The 19,911-nt window shown below is 42.9% G+C and overlaps 1 long non-coding RNA gene across 1 annotated transcript; it reads left to right on the top strand.

Moving 5' to 3' along the window:
* The first annotated feature begins 895 nt into the window (after nucleotides 1-895).
* Nucleotides 896-19,654, top strand: LOC124901332 (uncharacterized). Its single transcript, XR_007059612.1, has 4 exons — nucleotides 896-1,997; nucleotides 18,087-18,158; nucleotides 19,268-19,428; nucleotides 19,555-19,654. It is a non-coding gene; the product is annotated as an uncharacterized LOC124901332 (long non-coding RNA).
* The last annotated feature ends 257 nt before the right edge of the window (nucleotides 19,655-19,911 follow it).

Genomic DNA, 19,911 nt, shown 5'->3' with positions numbered 1-19,911 from the left:
TTCCTACTGGTGTTCTTTGTTCAAATAATGGGCATAGATGCAGGTTTCCCTTGGATGAATTTGACAATGTTTTAACCAAGCTACCACTTTTCAGCAAATTGTGTGCTTTCCCCTTGACAATGTTCCCAGTGAAACAGGTGCCTGTTTGTAGGAAAGCATCAGCACCAGGTTCCAACAACCTTGTGCCCTTCCCTGCTCCCCTTTTTTTTTTTTTTTTAAGATGGAGTCTCACTCTGTCACCCAGGTTGGAGTACAGTGGCCCAATCTCGGCTCACTGCAAGCTCCACCTCCCGGGTTCACGCTATTCTGCCTCAGCCTCCCGAGTAGCTGGGACTACAGGCACCTGCCACCACGCCCAGCTAATTTTTTTTTTTTTTTTTTGTATTTTTAGTAGACACAGGGTTTCACCATGTTTGCCAGGATGGTCTCAATCTCCTGACCTCGTGATCCGCCCGCTTCGGCCTCCCAAAGTGCTGGGATTACAGGTGTGAGCCACTGCTCCCAGCACCCTGCTCCCTTATTAATTGCTGTGGCTCTCAGTCCTCCAGGAAGGCTACATGGTTAGGGGTTGACCAAGTCCCAACTGCCTGCTGCCTGTGCCATTCCTGCAGAGCTCCAGCCCTCTAGGAGTACTGGGTTAAGTGTATTTTAAAACCAAGGCCAGGGCTGGGTGTGGTGGCTCATGCCTGTAATCCCAACAGTTTGGGAGGCCGAGGCAGGTGGATCACTTGAGGTCACGAGTTCGAAACCAGACTGGCCAACATGGTGAAACCCCGTCTCTACTAAAAATACAAAAAATTAGCTGGGTATGGTGGTGCACACCTGTAATCCCAGCTACTCGGGAGGCTGAAGCAGGAGAATCACTTGAACCCAGGAAGAGGAGGTTGCAGTGAACTGAAATCACGCCACTGCACTCCAGCCTGCCTGAGCGACAGAGCAAGACTCTGTCTCAAAAAAACAACAACAAGGCCAAATGTCACCCCATGATCTTAACAAGGGAACAGTCAGAATCCAAATCCTAAGCACACAAAGCTACTTTCTTAAGGGCAATGGGAGAGGGAAATTGTGATGGCCCCAAGCTAGAACCTAAATTACACCTTTACTTTAGAACTGAGTATAGAAGGATACATATCCTAGGGCACAGATGGGACACCTCTGTCGATGCTAGAAGAATTCTATGTGTGTTTGGAGGTGGCATAGCATACCTGTTAGAAAGGCTTTGCTATTTACTACTGTGGGACCACAAGCAAGTTATCTCTTTTCTGAACCTCAGTTTCCTCAACTATAAAAAAGAGATACGGATGCTTAGCTAATATTGCTGGAATTGAATGCAGAAATGAAAGAAAGCTTTTAGCACAGGGCTTTACCCTAACAGGCACTTACTGTTAAGAGTGGTTTATTACCAGGTAGGTAACTAAGCAAGGAAGATGTGTGTTAATCAATTTGGCATGAGATTTAAAATTTTATTACCCAACACATTATTTTCACTAAAGTATCCTTGGTTAAAACTCAGTTAATACTAGCATTTAATAAGATAACTCAAATTTCTCCAAAAAAATGGACAAATTGGATGTCTTCAATTCACTTGACTTACAAAATGGTTTTAATATGAGAATTGTCTAGTCATAAGTTGTCACTCAAGAACAAAAATTATCTGTTCTGGCACTAACTGGCATGTGATTCTGGTGAGGCACATCATGACTCTGGGTCTCCTCTACAAGGAGGGGGTTGTGGGAGTGCCCTGGTTCCTTCCATCTTGAACATTCGTGATTCCAAAGTAGCACTCCAGCATAGCCCTGATTTACTTCTAGTTCCTTTCCTTTTCAGGACATTGACATAAAGTAGAACTTGCTTCCAATACGTCTTAAAGGTTAAATGTTACACACAGCGTACAGTCAATGCAAGGAGGCCTGCACACAGGGAACTTCTGTCTAGGACTGCGGCCGGTAAGACCTTCCTGTGTGGACCACAGCACTGCTCAGGAAAGCTGCCTGCAGGTGAATAAGTGAATGTGAAATTAAGCGAGACTCTCTGCAACCGTATTCACTATATCACACTTTCATTTGGCCTCTTTTGCATTATTTCCTAATGTTTGGAGAATACATTTGAGAAAGAATGTTACATATTTTTTTACAACTCATTTTACATTTACCTCAATTGGGGAAAAAATTGATGGGAGGTGATTTAAATGTGTTTCTTTATGGAATGAGATCAAGGGATTAAACAGCCTCCCAAGTGTCCACACTGGCCCAGGATCCAAGTGAGAATAGACTGTGTCCCAGGACCTGTGGTGGGACTTGAAGTTTCTGAAGAAGTTGAGGTAGGAATAGAGTAGATGAAAGTATAAAATTTGGATAGAAGGAAAAAAATGAAAGGTTGATGAAATAACTGTACCAGAGAAGGAGTACTTTTCTAGAGATAGCAGTTTTTCTCATGATCTGAATTAAATAGCATGGTGTTCTCAGTGACCTTCCAAATTACTGAGACTCACTAGCAGGCTCACCAGGGATTCACTGCTGGCTCAGAAGGTGTTCTAGAAAGCAGTTTCCAGAAGGTGTTTTAGAAAGAAGTCAGATGCAGAGCACCTCTCAAGCATGAGACGCCAAGGTACCTTCCTCCCAGTGTCTAGGTATTGGCAGCTCTCTTCCCCGTTTTGCAGATGAGAAAGTTGAAATCCAGAGAGGATAAATGACCTGCCCAAGGTAAGTTTGACACCAGAGTTCAAATGGGCTTTCCTGGTCCAAAGCTGATGCCAGGCATTGGAGCTCACTAGGCAGGGAGACAGTACAGAAAGCGCTCCCTCAGACCCACCCCTCTAGACACAATTACAGCTACAGGGACTCACATTGTCCTGGCTAACCAGGACAATGTGACATTTCTAACCAGGACAATAGTCTGTCTATGGTGACATCAATGTGATTGTAAATTATTTATAAAGTCCACATTATCTAGTGAGGATGTTCCGCTCACGGATTAGCGAAGAGACATAGGGAAAATCCTTCAAATACTATTTCATTCATTCTGTGATGCCATTGAGCAAAAGAAACTGCCAAGTCATAAAAGTAATTACCGAGTAATACCTATAAATCTAATAAACTTGGCCAGGCACAGTGGCTCACACCTGTAATCCCAGCACTTTGGGAGGCCAGGGCAGGTGAATCACCTGAGGTCAGGAGTTCAAGACCAGCCTGACCAACGTGGTGAAACCCCACCTCTACTAAAAATACAAAAATTAGCTGGGCGTGGTGACAGGAGCCTGTAATCCCAGCTACTTGGGAGGCTGATGCAAGAGAATTGCTTGAACCTGGGAGGCAGAGGTTGCAATGAGCCGAGATGGCGCCACCGCCCTCCGGCCTGGGTGACAAAGTGAGACGTCATCTAAAAAAAAAAATAAACTTTTTTTGAGATAACACATTACATGTTTGTAATTCTGTATTTAAAAACTGAGTAGTATCATGTTTATACAACTATGTAGCACTTTTTAAATAATAAGAGTGAAGCTTCTGAGATTAAGCTCCTGCCAGACATTAAAGACAGTTCAAAATCATTTTGGCCATGGTTAGGTCTACAGAATCTCAGAAGCATGCTGCTCTCCCCAACCCTTGCTTGCAATCCTGCAGCATTCACCGAGGGCCTTCGCAGCTCCAGGCATCTTGCCAGTGCTGGGGAAACAACAAATGAAAAGATAACCTCATTTTGGGTGAAGGACAAAGACAATTACAAATTATAGGAAGTATGCTGACGGCAACAATCAGAATTCTGATGTGAGAATAATCTCTTAGGTACTTGTAAAGATAATTTGGAGGCACGTCAAAAGATACTGGAGTTTTACCTATGTGGTTAAATGGGTAGTTCCTATTGTCTCAACCAAATAAGATATTCCTGGAAGTTTCACATCTCTAAAAAATTATCTGGAAGCTTCTGATTATCTGAAGCTTCTGTTCTCCACCTAAATGATAGTCCGCCATTCATGAGTCAGGCCTACGCTTGGCCCTAACAATTCTGTGAGCACTCAGAGACTTAGCAATTCCCACTGCCTTCAGCTGCATTGTTCCTGTGTGATGGGCAACTGATGACTTTTCAGTTTAGTCCTGAATCGCAGTGTGATCTCTTTGAGAGTTACAAGGATCCAAATGTGAGTGAAATGCACAGAATGGTAGTACATGCCAACGGTAACTGAGGACAGATGGATCAATGGATGATTTTCATGCGTGACAATGGCAGATGCACAATGACAGGTATGGACAAGTACCTCATTGTCCTGCCTGGCAGCTGGCGAAGTTCCTTTATAAGGATAAGACAAATCTCCATTCAGAAAGTCTAAAAGTGGGGCTGTGTGTTATAATCTCACTTCATCCTGGAAGATAGAGTGTATATTCTAAACAACCCACTTGATTCCAAGACACTTGAGGGCAGGAATTGTCTCATTTGTCTCTGCATCCCTGTAGTGTGCCCAGCACTGAATACATAGCAGATGTTCAATAAATGTTTTGATGAATGAATGGAAGTATTTGGGAAATATTAGTGTGGTGCATAACGGGGAAAACAAGCTTTCCAGCTGTATCAGTCCATTTGCACACTGCTGTAAAGATACTACGCAAGACTGGGTAATTTATAAACAAAAGAGGTTTAATTGACTCACAGTTCTGCATGGCTGTGGAGGCCTCAGGAAGCTTACAATCATGGCAGAAGGGGAAGTAGGCATGTCTTAACATGGCAGCAGACGAGAGCGTGTGAAGGAAGTGAAGGGGGAAGGGCCTCTTATGAAACCTTATCAGATCTCGTGAGAAGTTACTATCATGAGAACAGCATGGAGGAAACCAACCCCATGATCCAATCGCCTCCCACCAGGTCCCACCCTCAACACATGGGGGATTATGGGGATTACAATTCAAGATGAGATTCTGGTGGGAACACAGAGCCAAACCATATCACCAGCCAATTAGATCAGAGATGAAATCCTGCCATCACTCAATAACCATGTGCCCTTGTTAAGTTACCTAACCTCCTAAACCTCAGCATGGTTCTAGGATTCAAGAAAATAGATACAGACCATATGGTCTCCAGGGGGGTCTCTTAGAATTATGATCCCCACGCAACAGTTAATGGTCACATGAGGCCATAAAAACCTGCTGGTGGCACAGTGGGAATAACATTCTGTTAAAAATCCCATCAGCTTCTAGTGGACCCAGAGTGCCAGAACAGCTCATCTGAATCATGAAACCTCCAGGAGGGTGGGTCTTGCAGCCACAGGGACCTTATCACAGGACCCACAGCTTCTCCCCAGAATCCCTAATTAAATGCTTCCAGTTCCCTGGCAATCTAAGGTTGTAGCTCCTGGGATCAGGGACTGCAAAAGTCTAATGAATCAGCTCTTCAGATGGAGCAGGACCAAGGCCCCCTTGAGGTCACTAGCTTGCCTGTGTCTGGGAGCCACCTCTAGGCACTTGCTTCACGGAGAATAAAATCCTATGCCTTTCCATGGCCTACAGGCTCCTGGAGCTGGCCCTGACCCCTCTCACATGTCCCATCCTCTTCCTTGCTCACCACATTCAGCTGCCCTCACCTCTTGCCTGGTTCTCTAGAGGAGCCACTTCCATCTCAAGGCCTTTGTTCTCACCTCCAGATGTTTATTTGCATGGCTTGTCCCTGCACTTAAATGCCACCTTCCCAGAGAGGCCTCCCCAACTACCAGATCTAAAATATCATTCCTCACATCCCTCCCCACACACACCTCTCTTTGACTTGGCTTTATTTTTCTCTGTAATATTTCCATTGTGTTGTATCTATATTGAAATCAAGGGCTTTTTCTTTTGCCTGCCACATAGGAGAGTCTCAAATATTAGAATAAATGAATTTGTGAATGAATGAACATGAGATGATTAACGTTGATGTTGCCCAAACCCTCCCTTGTGGGAGCTGTAACCTTATCTCACATATGAAGGGCACTGTGTTTTTAATAGCCCTGAGGTTGTCAGTAGGACATCTTAATCATCTCAGAAAAGTGGACCCAGACATATTTCGGAACAGAGCATATGATGGTGAACCATCAAATCCCACCAATGTTAAGAATTAATGAGCTTTCTGTTCTCCTATGAAGTTAATGTATAAATTTGCTGCTCTGTACCTTTCACATTTAGAACTGAAGACAAAAATAATTGTGAAGGTGAAGGATGGCATTGGAAACTATTTTTAGAACCCTGCAACAACTGAGATTTTTTTTAAAGGCACTCAGTCTAACCTTATTTGATTTTATGACCTCTCTTAACTGTTCCTCAGATTATAGCTTGGGACTAACAATCACCACAGTTTTTCTAGTTGTTATTAGAACTAACAAACAGCTCCTAATAAGAAGAGAATGGAGAGATAGTAGCTCAGTCCAGTGAAGAAATGAAAGAAATCCATAAGTCACAATACTGGGAATAATCCCTAAGCTTATTACCCTCCCCACGAGGTCAACACTAGCCGGGTTGTGGGGATGTACCCACAGGTAACACAGTGCAATGATTTGCCAAAGAGCTTTATGGGCATGACTCCAGATACTGTGATAAGGATCCCTCATCGACTGCCCTGAGAAATAAGTTTTCAGGCACTGAGCAGAGACAGAAAACATCCATCAGCAGCTGGTGAGACCTGGGAGGTAGGTTCCAAGGTGATGAGTAGGGCAAAAACAAAGAATTGCAGCTGAAGGCAGTGGCAGGATGGAAAGCTGGGGCTACAGGGATGATAGTGCAAGAGCCAAGTTAGCGGAAATAGAACTAAGAGTACGGGGGAGCAAATGACCTTTACAGAAGAGACATTTGAAATCAGTGGCCTTGTTCTTTTCCCTTCTCCAACAGACAAAAATCAAACTAATGTCTATTAACTATCTCTGTTTTTTACCCAGTTTTTATTTTTCTCCAAGCAAGATCTAGACAAATCACTGAGTGGAAACAACACTAAGTTTTTATAAGACCAAGGATGGTCATTGCAGGGTGGTTCTTTGGTTGTTTTTTTTTTCTTTGTTTTGTTTGTTGGTTTTTTGTTTTGAGATGGAGTCTTGCTCTGTGGCCCAGGCTGGAGTGCAGTAGTACAATCTCAGCTCACTGCAACCTCTGTCTCCCAGGTTCAAGTGATTCTCCTGCCTCAGCCTCCCGAGTAGCTGGAATTACAGGCGTGTGCCACCATGCCTGGCTAATTTTTGTATTTTTAGTAGAGATGGGGTTTCACCATGTTGGCCAGGCCAGTCTCAAGCTCCCAACCTCAAGTGATCTGCCCATCTCAAGCCTCCCAAAGTGCTGGGATTACAGGTGTGAGCCACCGTACCCAGCCTGTAGTGTTATTTATAATAATAAAAAAATGGGTAATAATCTCAAAGTACCAATAGGTTATGTGCAGTAGGTGTATCATTCATAGGTTAGACAGTATGCTCTGATCAAACATATTTTGGAAAAAATTTAACAATGTTAGAAAATGGTCATGGAAGTATCATTAAATAAAAAAGTAAGTTATCAACCATTTTATAGCACATTTCTTCCAATCTGTTAAACTACATTTACATGTGTATGAAAAAGATTGGAGGAATACGTATCAACATGTCAATAGCAATTATATCTGGGTGGGTGAATTATAGGTGATTTTTATTTTTCCCTTTGTGGCTTTCTAACTTTTTTAAAGTTACTGCAATAAACATTTATTGTTTGTATAATGGGGAGGTCATTAAATTTTTTTGAAAGAATCAGCCCATCACCTAGTGATTCAATCTATTTGAAATAAACACTTTTTTAAATAAAAAAATGAGAGCAAAGCTCTTTCTACTGTAGATACTGCTCTTGGTTTCTATAGAAAAAGAACATTTTGATTTTAGAGGGAGGCATGAAGCCGTGCAATCTTGCTCAAATCATTAAATATTTTTCAAACAAATTAACAACCCCTAGTGTGTTAGAAAAGACAAATAAGAGGTCCAAATTTATGCTCTGCCACTTACTACTCTGGAAACCTGAGGCAAGTCAGTTCTCTCAGTCACTTCCCCTATCTGTAAGATGGAGAGCATGGTCACTCTTCTGTTTAGCTAAAAGATTATTATTAGGTCTGGGCACAGTGGCTCATGCCTGTAATCCCAGCACTTTGGGAGGCCGAAGTAGGTGGATTACTTGAGGTCAGGAATTTTAGACCAGCCTGGGCAACGTGGCGAAACCCTGTCTCTACAAAAAAACACAAAAATTAGCCAGGTGTGATAGCACTTGCCTGTGGTCCCAGGTACTTGGGAGGCTGAGGTGGGAGGATCACCTGAGCCTGAGAGGCGGAGGTTGCAGTGAGCCAAGATCCACCACTGCACTTCCAGCCTGGACTACAGAGTGAGAACCTGTCTCAAAAAAAAAAAAAAAAAAAAGATTTTTATTAGGTATGAAAAATCCCACATTGCATGAAAAGTAAGGTAGAGAAACTCTCCCATAGAAATACAGTCAAGACTCTTCTGTTGACATAGAATATATTTTAATAGAAGGCCAGAGAGGAGGCTGGTTCAGAAAGATAAATCCCTGCAAAGAGTGAATTGCCAGAGATGAGCACTGAGTCACCCATGATCAACTGAGGCAAAAGGCAGAGGAGGCAGGAAACATTAGATGGGAGCCCACTGAGGTCTGCAGCAGGGATGCAAGTTCAGCCTTTTCCAAAACAGTGTGGGCTTTATAGCTAACTGTTTTGACTACTCTGCCATCTGGCAGTATCAGTTCCCAGGCAGCCTGGTTCCCAATGAATTCCCTTCCATGAGAGCTTCTTAGCCATCTCACCACAGAGAATGGGAGAATTGGATTTCATTTCTACTCAGCAAACACTCTCACTCTCAGGGTCACAGGTAGGCAAACTAGCCAAGCTGCCAGCACTTGGCCAGCACTGTCAAATTTCCCTTTTTCATTATTTTCTCATCTTCACCTAATCTATACTATATGCAGTCTAGCAGTCACTTACCTTCTAGTAAGAATTTGAGTACCTAAGTCTTTTCTCCCAGTAACATTTTAAGCTCATTTATTAAGGTTTTGTGAAATGGTGTTAGGAAAACTGAAGAAAGTGTGAATGGGGTGGAGGGAGAGAAGGGAGGTCAGGTGGAGTTAGAGGGGATATCACTCTTTTTCTCCCAGGGCAGGGGCACCTACTCTCTCCTATCATAAAGTCTGTTCTTAATGTCAGTGGAGACTGCTTTGGGAAATACAGTACTATATTGGAATATTCATGGAAATGAATACTTTGTAGTACTGAGAGAGCTTTCTTTAAAACTCCAAAGATCAGAATAAAATGCAAACTCTTCACACTTGCCTGGAGCCCCACAAGATCTGGCCCCTGCCCACCTCCACTGGGTCATCTTTACCACCCCCAAACCCCCACCTTTCCCCGTCCCCATTCCCTCTATTTCAGCCACACAGGGTTTCTTCCTGAGCAAACTAGGATCAATTTCTGCCTGGAAAACTTTGCACTTACTGTTATCTCCTGGGATACAACCTCACCTCATTCATGGGGGCCTCATGGGAGTAGAGAGAGTTATGTGATAAAATTCAAGACGTCTAGTTAAATTTGAATTTCAGATAAATGAGTAATATTTTTGCACATGTATGTCCCAAATATTGCATGGGACATATTGATACTAAAAAAAAAAATTGTCATGGCCAACAAACATGAAAAAATGCTCAACATCACTAATTATCAGGGAAATACAAGTCAAAACCACAATGGAATACTACTACCTTACTCCTACAAGAATGGCCATAAACAAAAAATCAAAAAATAATAGACGTTGGCATGGATGTGGTATGAAGGGAACACTTTTACACTGTTGGTGAGAATGTAAACTAGTACAACCACTATGGAAAACAGCGTGAAGATTCCTTAAAGAACCAAAAGTAGAACTACCATTTGATCCAGCAGTCCCACTACTAGGTATCCCAGAGGAAAAGAAATCATTATACAAAAAAGACACTTGTACACGCATGTTTATAGTAGCAAAATTCGCAATTGCAAAAATATGGAACCAGCCCAAATGCCCATCAATCAATGAGTGGATAAAGAAAATGTGGTATATAGGGGGCCGGGTGCAGTGGCTCAACCCTGTAATCCCAGCACTTTGGGAGGCCAAGGCAGGTGGATCACTTGAGGTCAGGAGTTTAAGACCAGCCTGGCCAACATGGTGAAACCCCATCTCTACTAAAAATACAAAAATTAGCCGGCCTGGTGGCAGTCGCCTATAGTCCCAGCTACTCAGGAGGCTGAGGCAGAAGAATGGCTTGAATCCAGCAGGCAGAGGTTGCAGTGAGCCGAGATGGCGCCACTGTACTTACTCCAGCCTGGGCAACAGAGCAAGACTCCATCTCAAAAACAAAGGAAAAAAAAGAAAACGTTGATATAGATATAGATATAGATATAGATATAGATATAGATATAGATATAGATATAGATATAGATATAGATATATACAGATATAGATATAGATATATATAGATATATAGATATATATACATACACCATGGAATACTATTCAGCAATAAAAAGGAATGGAATAATGTCATTCACAGCAACCTGGATGGAATTGGACACCATTAGTCTAAGTGAAGTACCTCAGGAATGGAAAACCAAACATCGTACATTCTCACTTATAAGTGGGAACTAATCTATGAGGAGGTAAAGGCATAAGAATGATACAATGGACTTTGGGGACCCTGGGGGAAGGGTGGGAGGGGGTGAGGGATAAAAGACTACACATTGGGTACAGTGTACACTGCTTGGGTGATGGGTGCACCAAAATCTCAGAAATCACCACTAAAGAACTTACCCATGTAACCAACCACCACCTGTTCCCCAAAACCTATTGAAATAAAGAAAAGAAAAAGAAAGAAAAAGCATTTGTCATCTATCTAAAACTCAAAGTTACCTGGTGTCCTGTATTTTTATTTGCTAACTCAGGCAGCCATACATAAGAACCTTTCCTAACCCCCTCATCCAGCTCCATTACCCTCTCATCTCCTTTCCCTGTTTTACTTTTTTTCAAAACACTTACAACCTCCTGAGATTATTTGTTTGTTGTTAGCCTCACCTACTAGCCTGAGAGAAAGGTCCATGCAGACAGAGATTTTATCTTTTTCCTGGCTCTTTGATACCTGGAACATAGTAAATACAATTTTATATGAATGAATGAATGAACGAATGAATGAGTGAACGAATGAATGAGTGAATGAGTTTTATATACACATTTGCTTTTCTTGAATCTTTTGCTTGAGGGAAAAAGCAAATAGCTTTCCATATGAGCTTTTGTTCAAGGTTTTCTGCTCTTCATCTCCTTAGCTTCATGGTCTGCTTCATCAGGCGCTGGATACCTTGCTAATGACTTCTGCCTGCCTTTCTGGCAATGCTTGTCCTCCTGGGACCCTAACTTTCCTAACACTTTCCTCAACACTCCCTGCCCTACCACAGGTTTCACCTCTCTTCCCCATCTTCTCTGTTGCCTGGAATTGCACACTGACACACTACTTTTGCTTTAAGACTTTCAATGTGAGGGCTTGCAGAAGATAACAGTTTGTCCATTCTCCATGATGCAACTGAATTTATCAGATTATTTCCTGGGAGCAGGTTTTGGTTTGGAGAAATAAGAGAGGAGGAAAGCTCCCCAGGGCCCAGTGATTGCATAAAGTTAACTTTGGACAGAAAGAAAGGGTTCAGACAAATGAAATTAGAGGTGAACTTCCATTTTGTCTACGCTGGCACTTTCAGTCTGCACCAACTCTCTTCAGCCCTGGCCGCATTAAGGATTATCTGCAACCCTGTCTCTATCCTTTCCCTTCACCATCGGCCTTCAAGAGAATGCTCCTGATCATGGCTTCAAACCTCTATTCGCAGTGGTTGGTTAGCACACTACAGAGGCATCTTTGCAAGAGAGGTTAGAATAGCATCTCTTTACTGCTCTGGAAACCCAGGTGCAGAGAGAACAAGTGACCCAAGGTCAGTCTCAGGTTCCAGCTTGGGACTCAAGGTTCCTTCCCAACAGTCTCCCAGGCACTAACTAGAACACTAAATAAATGTCAAGTGATAAAGCATTGCAGTGGCTGAAAAATGAAGCTTGCATTCCTGTAACCCACTAAATTGTTCATATAGAGCCTCCTGATTGATTTTGGTTTTCTTTGTGTGCAACTTTGAATCCCTGTCTCATATTTGGGTCAGAGCAATGGGAGGGACACATGACTTGCTTTAAAATTAGCCTCAAAACTCATTGTATAACAGCTCTCGTTTTCACTAAATGGAATGATTTCTTGAGAAGACAAGCACAGCATTTGTAATAAGCCTGCATAGTTGAGTCGCCATGGAGAAAATTGTTTACAGTCACCAAAACACTCAATGTTTCCACCTGTAAAATGGGGTGTAGATTTAGTTTGAAAGAAAAGAAATAAAGGATAACAAAATAAAAGTAACCACCTCATCCAGAACCCCCATACACACACACTTACACAAAAACACACACACAGTCTTTGGGCTGGCCAGCAGATAAAGAACAATCTCTTCTAGTCCCCAGTAGACTGGACAAAGATAGACAAGGAAAGAAATCCTGTCTAAGTCATACTATTACCAGAGTCTAGACTTCACGTTCTGATAGTTTAATGAGCTCAGAGAACATATTTTAAGTCTTAAGAAAACAAACTTATTTCTGACTTTATAAAGGTTTCTCCTGGGAGAAGAAACTAACAAAAAATCATTCTGATTGCTGTCCTTCTCCAAAGACCGTTTCCCAAGATTTCTGATTCGTTTGGCAACATCTGCAAATAAACCCAAATGACCCAGAGGCAAAATAGCTGCAAAGAACTGTATGTGACTAAGCATGGCTAAAATGTTTCTTTATAGCAAGGAAAGTTTTCCCTTGGTCTTCTGAGTTAGATAAATGGTTGATTATAATTTATGTATCACTTCTGAGGGGTGGTACAGAGCTGAAGGTTGAGGGGGCAAGTGCTAAAATATTTGAACCACCGTTTAAGTAGGGGGCCAAAGAACACAGAACTATCAACCCGGAACCACCAAGAATAGGGCTTGTCTGTAACAGCTCCATATGTGACCAGGCAGCGAGGCTTCAGCCTGTGCTTCAAGTAGGTCTTACCGTCACACAGATCTAGGTTCAGATCCCAGCTCAGCCACTTGCTAGCCATGTGGCCTCAGGCAAGCTGCTTGCTCCATTTGAACCTCAATTTCCTCATCTGTAAATTGGGGTAAATAATCACGCCAATCTTATGAGGCTGTTGTGAGATTCAAATGAGATAATGCTTGTAAAAGGGGCTTCACAGAGGGCCTGGCACATAGTTATTAGTCACTGTTAAATGACATGGTAAATGCTCATGGTTATTAGTCACTGTTATCATCAGCCCTAGTGCCTGTGGCTGCAGTAACAAATTGCCACAAACTTGGTGCTTAAAACAACAGATACCTATTATTTCACAGTCCCAGAGGCCAGAAATCCAATATCAAGCTATGGGCAGGGCCTATTCCCTCCGAAGGCTATAACTTGACTCTCATTCTTGGCCTGTGGCTGCATCACTCCAGTCTCTGCCCCTGTAATCATATGGCCTTCTCCTCTTCTCCGACTCCCCTCTGTCTCTTATAAAATCACTTGTCATTGAATTTAGGGCCCACACAGATAATCCAACATGAGCTTATCTCAAGATTCCTAATTTAACACATCTGTAAAGACTCTTTTTCCAAAAAAAGGTTGTATTTATAAGTTCCAGGGATTCGAATGTGGACATTCTAATGGGAGACACCATTCAATCCACTATAGTAATATTTGTATGGTTATTTAGCAAGGGGTGCAGCATTGGCCTTCAAGGACTAGGGTAGGGGGTCCTGGACCCTCACTTTAGAAGGTCCTCGGTCACTTCACATTCACCATTGGCTCAGTGCAACTTGTAACCCTGAACACCAGTCATGACTAACATCATTTAGGTGCCAGGGGACCTCTAAATCTTCTGCCCCGTGTTCTCCAAACAAAAGGTAATGACATCCAGAGCTGTGATGGTTTGTAGGTTGTACTTCTGCTGGCATCAGACACAGACACTGCCTTGGGGAGTGAGGAGAACTGGGGTAACAGGAGCTCCTTGGTAAGAGGAAAGACAGCTCTCCAAAATCTTCCTCTCAGCCTGAATGCAAGAGTCTTGTTTCCCTTCATGTTCCAATTTAAGATTCTGGAGTTACTCATCAATTAGCACAATATTCACAACAGTTCATGTTAGTCTTTAGTCTTTTTTTTTTTTTTTTTTTTTTTGAGACGGAGTCTCACTCTGTCACCCAGGCTGGAGAACAATGGCACGATCTTGGCTCACTGCAACCTCCACCTCTTGAGTTCAAGTGATTCTCCAGCCTCAGCCTCCTGAGTAGCTGGGACCACAGGTGCATGCCACCATGCCTGGCTAATTTTTGTATTTTTAGTAGAGACGGGGTTTCACTACGTTGGCCAGGCTGGTCTCAAACTCCTGACCTCATGATCCGCCTCCCAAAGTGCTGGGATTACAGGCGTGAGCCACCGTGCCCAGCCTTCATGTTAGTCTTAAAGGTGTGTATATGTAGGTCTGCACATGTAAGCATGAAACGTGATAGCAACCCTTCACAAAACTATATAGGTATAGATTTTTAAGACATTATTATAAGAAATCTTGAAAATCATTATGTAAGTGATAGTAATTTATGGGATGAAATTAAACTATTTTGTGATAGTCCCTGTGATAATGGCAATATACCATATGCAACCCAATTATAATGACTGACATAAAATTCATGATTCATTTCCAAATGGAAGGGTTGCTTTAAGAATTTTAATGACAATTGCAATTGCTACTGCCTCTGCCGAGCAGCTTCTAATGGAAACTTGAAAAAATGAAAAGAAAAACTAAGATTCAAGAAAGGTAATCTAATTAGGTATTACTGTTAATAGAACACAAATTATGTGAAAATATTGATTATAACAACATAATTGTAATTTTCCTGAAATGAAAGCAAGAAACATTAATTTTATGGATAAATATATAATGCATGAATTGTATATGTCTTCAGTATGCATTCACACATGTCAGCCCATTAACAGAACACCTACAGGCATGTAATAATGAAGTCCAGTTATTTCTTCTTGTTTTTGCAAACTTTCAGTCATATAAAAACCGTAAATTTCACTTTTCCCCCATTTTCTTGCTATGAAAGTATATTTGACAAAGTACAAAGATGGAAGAAAGTTTATTTAAATATTAGACATTTGCTGGGCGTGGTGGCTAATCCTTGTAATCCCAGCATTTTGGGAGGCCAAGATGAGAGGATTGTTGGAACCCAAGAGGTTGAGGCTGCAGTGAGCTGTGATTGCGCCACTGCACTCCAGCCTGGGTGACAGAGCAAGACCCTGTCTCAAAAGAAACAAAATTAGACAGTTGTTGTGTAGGTCTCCATTCACACTCTCACCCTCTGCAACTCTGCAATGTTAGGGTTAGTCTGACCCTATGGTTCAAGGTCTCCAACTATAACGTGGACACATCTGCACTTAATGGGCGTTTTCTTGACTTAGAATCTTTCTCTGTCCTTTGGCTGCATGATACCTTCCTTGCCCTTGTAGAAAGAGGGCTAACATGTCTAGTCTTCCAAGGTCATCAAAGGAAGATTTTTCTACAACATCCAGTGCATAGGAATTTATGCAGCAGATCATGATTTACTTTATAGAACACATCCCCTGAACTAGATGCAGTTAATAGCCTTGGGCCATTAGTGTTTGAACCTTAGAAGGAATTTTAGAGGTCTGCCCTCACTTGCAAAAGTGCAGTGCTCTTGTTGATCACCTAGGTCCTAAATTTATCAATGAATATGCTCATCAGGCCAGATGCACAGAAGCGACTTTGCACAGTCTCTCCTAGCTGTCCATTTTGCTTTTTTCTCCTTTAGAATATTCTTAAGCCACCTTACACTCATTCCTACAGAATCAATTGCCTTTGTTTCTCACCATGTGTCATACTAAAATTCTAATCCTGCTGGTAAGAAAGTTTAGTACCCCTCAGAGCTCGGAGGCCCCATATGTCATGTCTGCCCCTCAAGGTTTACATGAGTAAGCCTCTGCCTCACAGGCTATGTAAGATGTAGTGTGCATGGTGGAGGCTTGCTCCCATAGGAACTCTGCAGGTACTCACTATGGGGGCGCTGACACGCAGCTCTGCGCTCCCAGCTAGGGTTGGAGATAAGGTGCCATCCACTCTCCTAGCCTAGCCCCACTCCTGATCCTCCCTGAGGGGACATTCTTTCCTAATTCATCCAGCCAGAGATGCACCTTTTCTAATTCTCCTAACGGCACTTGTAAAGGCTGGAGGTGGCACTACTTGCATCCAAGTCTCTCCACCATCCTTGTTTCCTCCCTCCTCTACAAATCAGGGGTCAGGAGGACAGACAGTGAACCTAGATGAAGTGAAACAACCATGTAAGATAATAGGTTCCAAGCTGTTTATATTGCAAGCAAGCATATCCCCTGCCCAGGTGAATTGCCTTTTGAAACCTGTGCTTGCATAACAAATGGAAAACAACCAGAGTGCAACCCCTGAACGAATTAGACTTGAGCTCTTCTGACCTGGATCCTGCCCTGGCCAAGTTACAGGCCAGTATGCAAACCAGCTGGATGCTCTTGGTGGCTCCCAGCCAGCCCACCAGCTCCAGCAACAGGCCCCTTACAAGGTTCCCTCGGTTTTTGTGTCCTTGCAGCCTCAAAGACTCTTTCCAGGCTTGCAGGCTCCCCCTTTTTGGTGTGTTGTGTCCCCTTACCTATTCTTTCAGTGTATACCAGTGGTTCCCAACTGGGGTGATTTTTGTCTCCTCCCCCTGGGGACATTTGACAAGGCCTGGAGACATTTTTTGTTGTCACATCCTGGGGCAGGGTGCCACTGCATCAGATGGGTGGAGTCCGGGGATGCTGCTAACCTGCCTACAATGCACGGGACACCCACACAACAAATAATTATGTGGTTCACAATGACAACAGGACCAGGACTGAGAAATTCTTATTGCACACCCTCTGCCTGGATCCTTTTACTTGCATGTGATTCTTACTCTTTTATTGACCTTTGGACTAATACTTCACCACCCTTTGTCCCAAGCCTAATTCTCACCTGGATGTAGATGTCATGTTCCTTTTTATTCCACATCCTGAAGCCACTAAGCAAAGGCACGGGTGCCTTCACCTCACCAGGTTCCTATACATTCTTCAAACACTGGAGCTCTGCAATTATTTCAGGCCATTCTGTGGCTCTTCCTACCACCTCCACACCTGAAAGTCAAGCAGCGCCTGTAGGATCAATCTGGTTAATGCTGATACATTCTCGGTTTTTAAATAGTGTGATTTTAGACTTTTAGTTCTATTGGTGAAGGTACAATATATAATAGAAAGAAACTCCAACAATCCCATACTAAACCTTTGCCCTTTGCTCGGGCTCTTAAAGGATTCACGTGCTTCCAGCTCGTAACTAGTGTTGTCCTACTTTTGCTTGTATTGTAATTGATCTCCTTTCTTGGGTTTTTTTTTCTTTTCTTTTCTCACATAAACCTTCTCTACCTTTTGTACTGCTTGTCTCACATACTATTAAGCCTAATTTGAATTTTTTGTTATAGTCTTCAGTTTCCCAACACTGTTTATACTTCTTTAAACAATAGATTTCATCTGCATGGTAGACAGAATGCCCATGAGTCCCAAGATGTCCATGTCCTAATTCCTAGAACTTGTAGATATGTTACCTTATATGGCAAAGGGGACTTTGCAGATGTGATGAGATGGGGGGATTATCCTAAATTATCTAGGTGAGCTTAATAGAATGCATGAGCCCTTAAAAGGGGAGAACCAGGCCTGGTGTGGTGGCTCACACCTGTGCTCCCAGCACTTTGGGAGGCCAAGGCAGGCGGATCACCTGAGGTCAGGAGTTCAAGACCAGCCTGGCCAACATGTCAAAACCCCGAGAGTCCATCTCCAGTGTTTGAGACGGGGTTTCACTCTGTCGCCCAACAGGAGGGCATATATCCTCTATCTCCCATTACCAAAGATTGATTCAGGCATCCCTTCTTGATCTTTCTAGGAGCTGTGAAGTTGCAGAATTTTGGTTTATTGGGATGCATCCTGGTGCTTGCCTACAGATCTTGTTTTGCAAGTAAGAACAGAAGACTCTGGCCGGGCGTGGTAGATTATGTCTGTAATCCCAGCACTTTGGGAGGCCAAGGGGGGGCGGATCACCTGAGGTCAGGAATTCAAGACAAGCCTGGCCAACATGGCGAAACCCCATCTCTACTAAAAATACAAAAATCAGCCAGGTGTGGTAGCACGCACCTGTAATCCCAGCTAGTCTGGAGGCTGAGACAGGAGAATCACTTGAACCCGGGAGGCAGAGGTTGCAGTAAGCCGAGATCGCACCACTGCACTCCAGCCTGGGTGACTCTGTCTCACAGAAAAAAAAAAAAAAAAAAACCACAGGAGACTCTAGGGAGGCCACCAGGCCTGTCAAGGTTGCATGGTTCTCAGGTGGCAGGCTGGTATCACACCCCCCGCCCTGACTCACAAACTGTTCCTATTTTCATTTCCTTCCCCTTAAAAAAAGTAGAACTATCTCACTGATGTAAGAAGAACATACTTGGCTTTTTTTCTCGTAAGGAGTCTTAAAAAACACACTGATAGTTGACACTGTATATATCAAGGTTTTCTGGCAAAAATTTCCATGGAATGTAGTTCAGAGAGATGCTCCAGAAAAATTTTTAAAAAGCCTCTGTGGTCAAATAAGCTTGGAAAATGCAGTATGTTTGTTCCTGCCTTGGAATGTCATCACATACATAAGCTTAATAAAACTTCTCAGAAGTCTATAGTAAAGAAGTTCTAGTTCAGTTTTCCCTTTTCATATAACACCCATTAGCAGGAGGCAAGAAATGCTAGTACAGAAGTGGCTTCATGTCTTTTCTCTGTCCCTTTCACTTGTTGCGTGGCTGGTTTAGCACTGTAGGTGGCTCTGGCCTGAGTACGCAATGTGACCCTTTGGGAGTCAAGCAGGTGAGTGCATCCCAGAGCCTGCTGATTACCACCCATTCTTCCTTCCTTTCTCATCGACGGGAACCCCATTTTATGTGGGTCAATGAGTGCTGAGGCTCCCTTGAAGCTTGGTGTGGCCATGTGACATAGTTCTAACCCATGAGATGGGAACAGAAGTCTCTAGAGGGACTTTCAGAAAAGCTCATACATGCATTTTTCTTCATCATTCATTTTCCTGCCTAGAGTGCAGAGGCAATACATGGAGATGCAGCAGCCATCTTGTGACCATGAGGACAAAGATCATTTACCAAGGATGACAGAAGAGAAAGTTAGCAAGAGCCTTGACCCCTGATGAGGTGAAGTCATTTCACCAGCCTATCACAGCTTCTAGTCTTCTTGGGAATGTAAGAAAAACAAACTGTTATTTGCTTAAGCTCTTATAGCTAAGTTTCTGTTCCGTGCAGCTATTATTCTAATCAAAATAATGTTTCAGTGTTTATTCCTGAATATCACATAATTTTGCTCTGTAGGTGTCATCTTGGCTTTCTTTATGAATGGCAATTACTGGCTGGGTGCGGTGGCTGAGATGGGTGGATCACTTGAGGTCAGGAGTTCGAGACCAGCCTGGCCAACATGGTAAAACCCTGTCTCTACTAAAAATACAAAAAAATTAGCCAGGTGTGGTGCCACATGCCTGTAATCGCAGCTACTTTGGAGGCTGAGGTAGGAGAATCACTTGAACCCAGGAGGCGGAAGTTGCACTGAGCCAAGATATCACCATTGCACTCCACCCTGGGCAACAAGAGTGAAACTCTGTCTCAAAAAAAAAAAAAAAGAAAAAGAAAAGAGAAAAGAAAAGAAAAGAAAGGCAATTACTGGATAGGGTC

This window comes from Homo sapiens, chromosome 6 (genome assembly GCF_000001405.40).
Source record: "Homo sapiens chromosome 6, GRCh38.p14 Primary Assembly".
In the NCBI taxonomy this organism is placed as follows: domain Eukaryota; kingdom Metazoa; phylum Chordata; class Mammalia; order Primates; family Hominidae; genus Homo; species Homo sapiens.
Note: the sequence above shows the minus strand (reverse complement) of the source record. Positions and strands in the feature narration are given on the sequence as shown.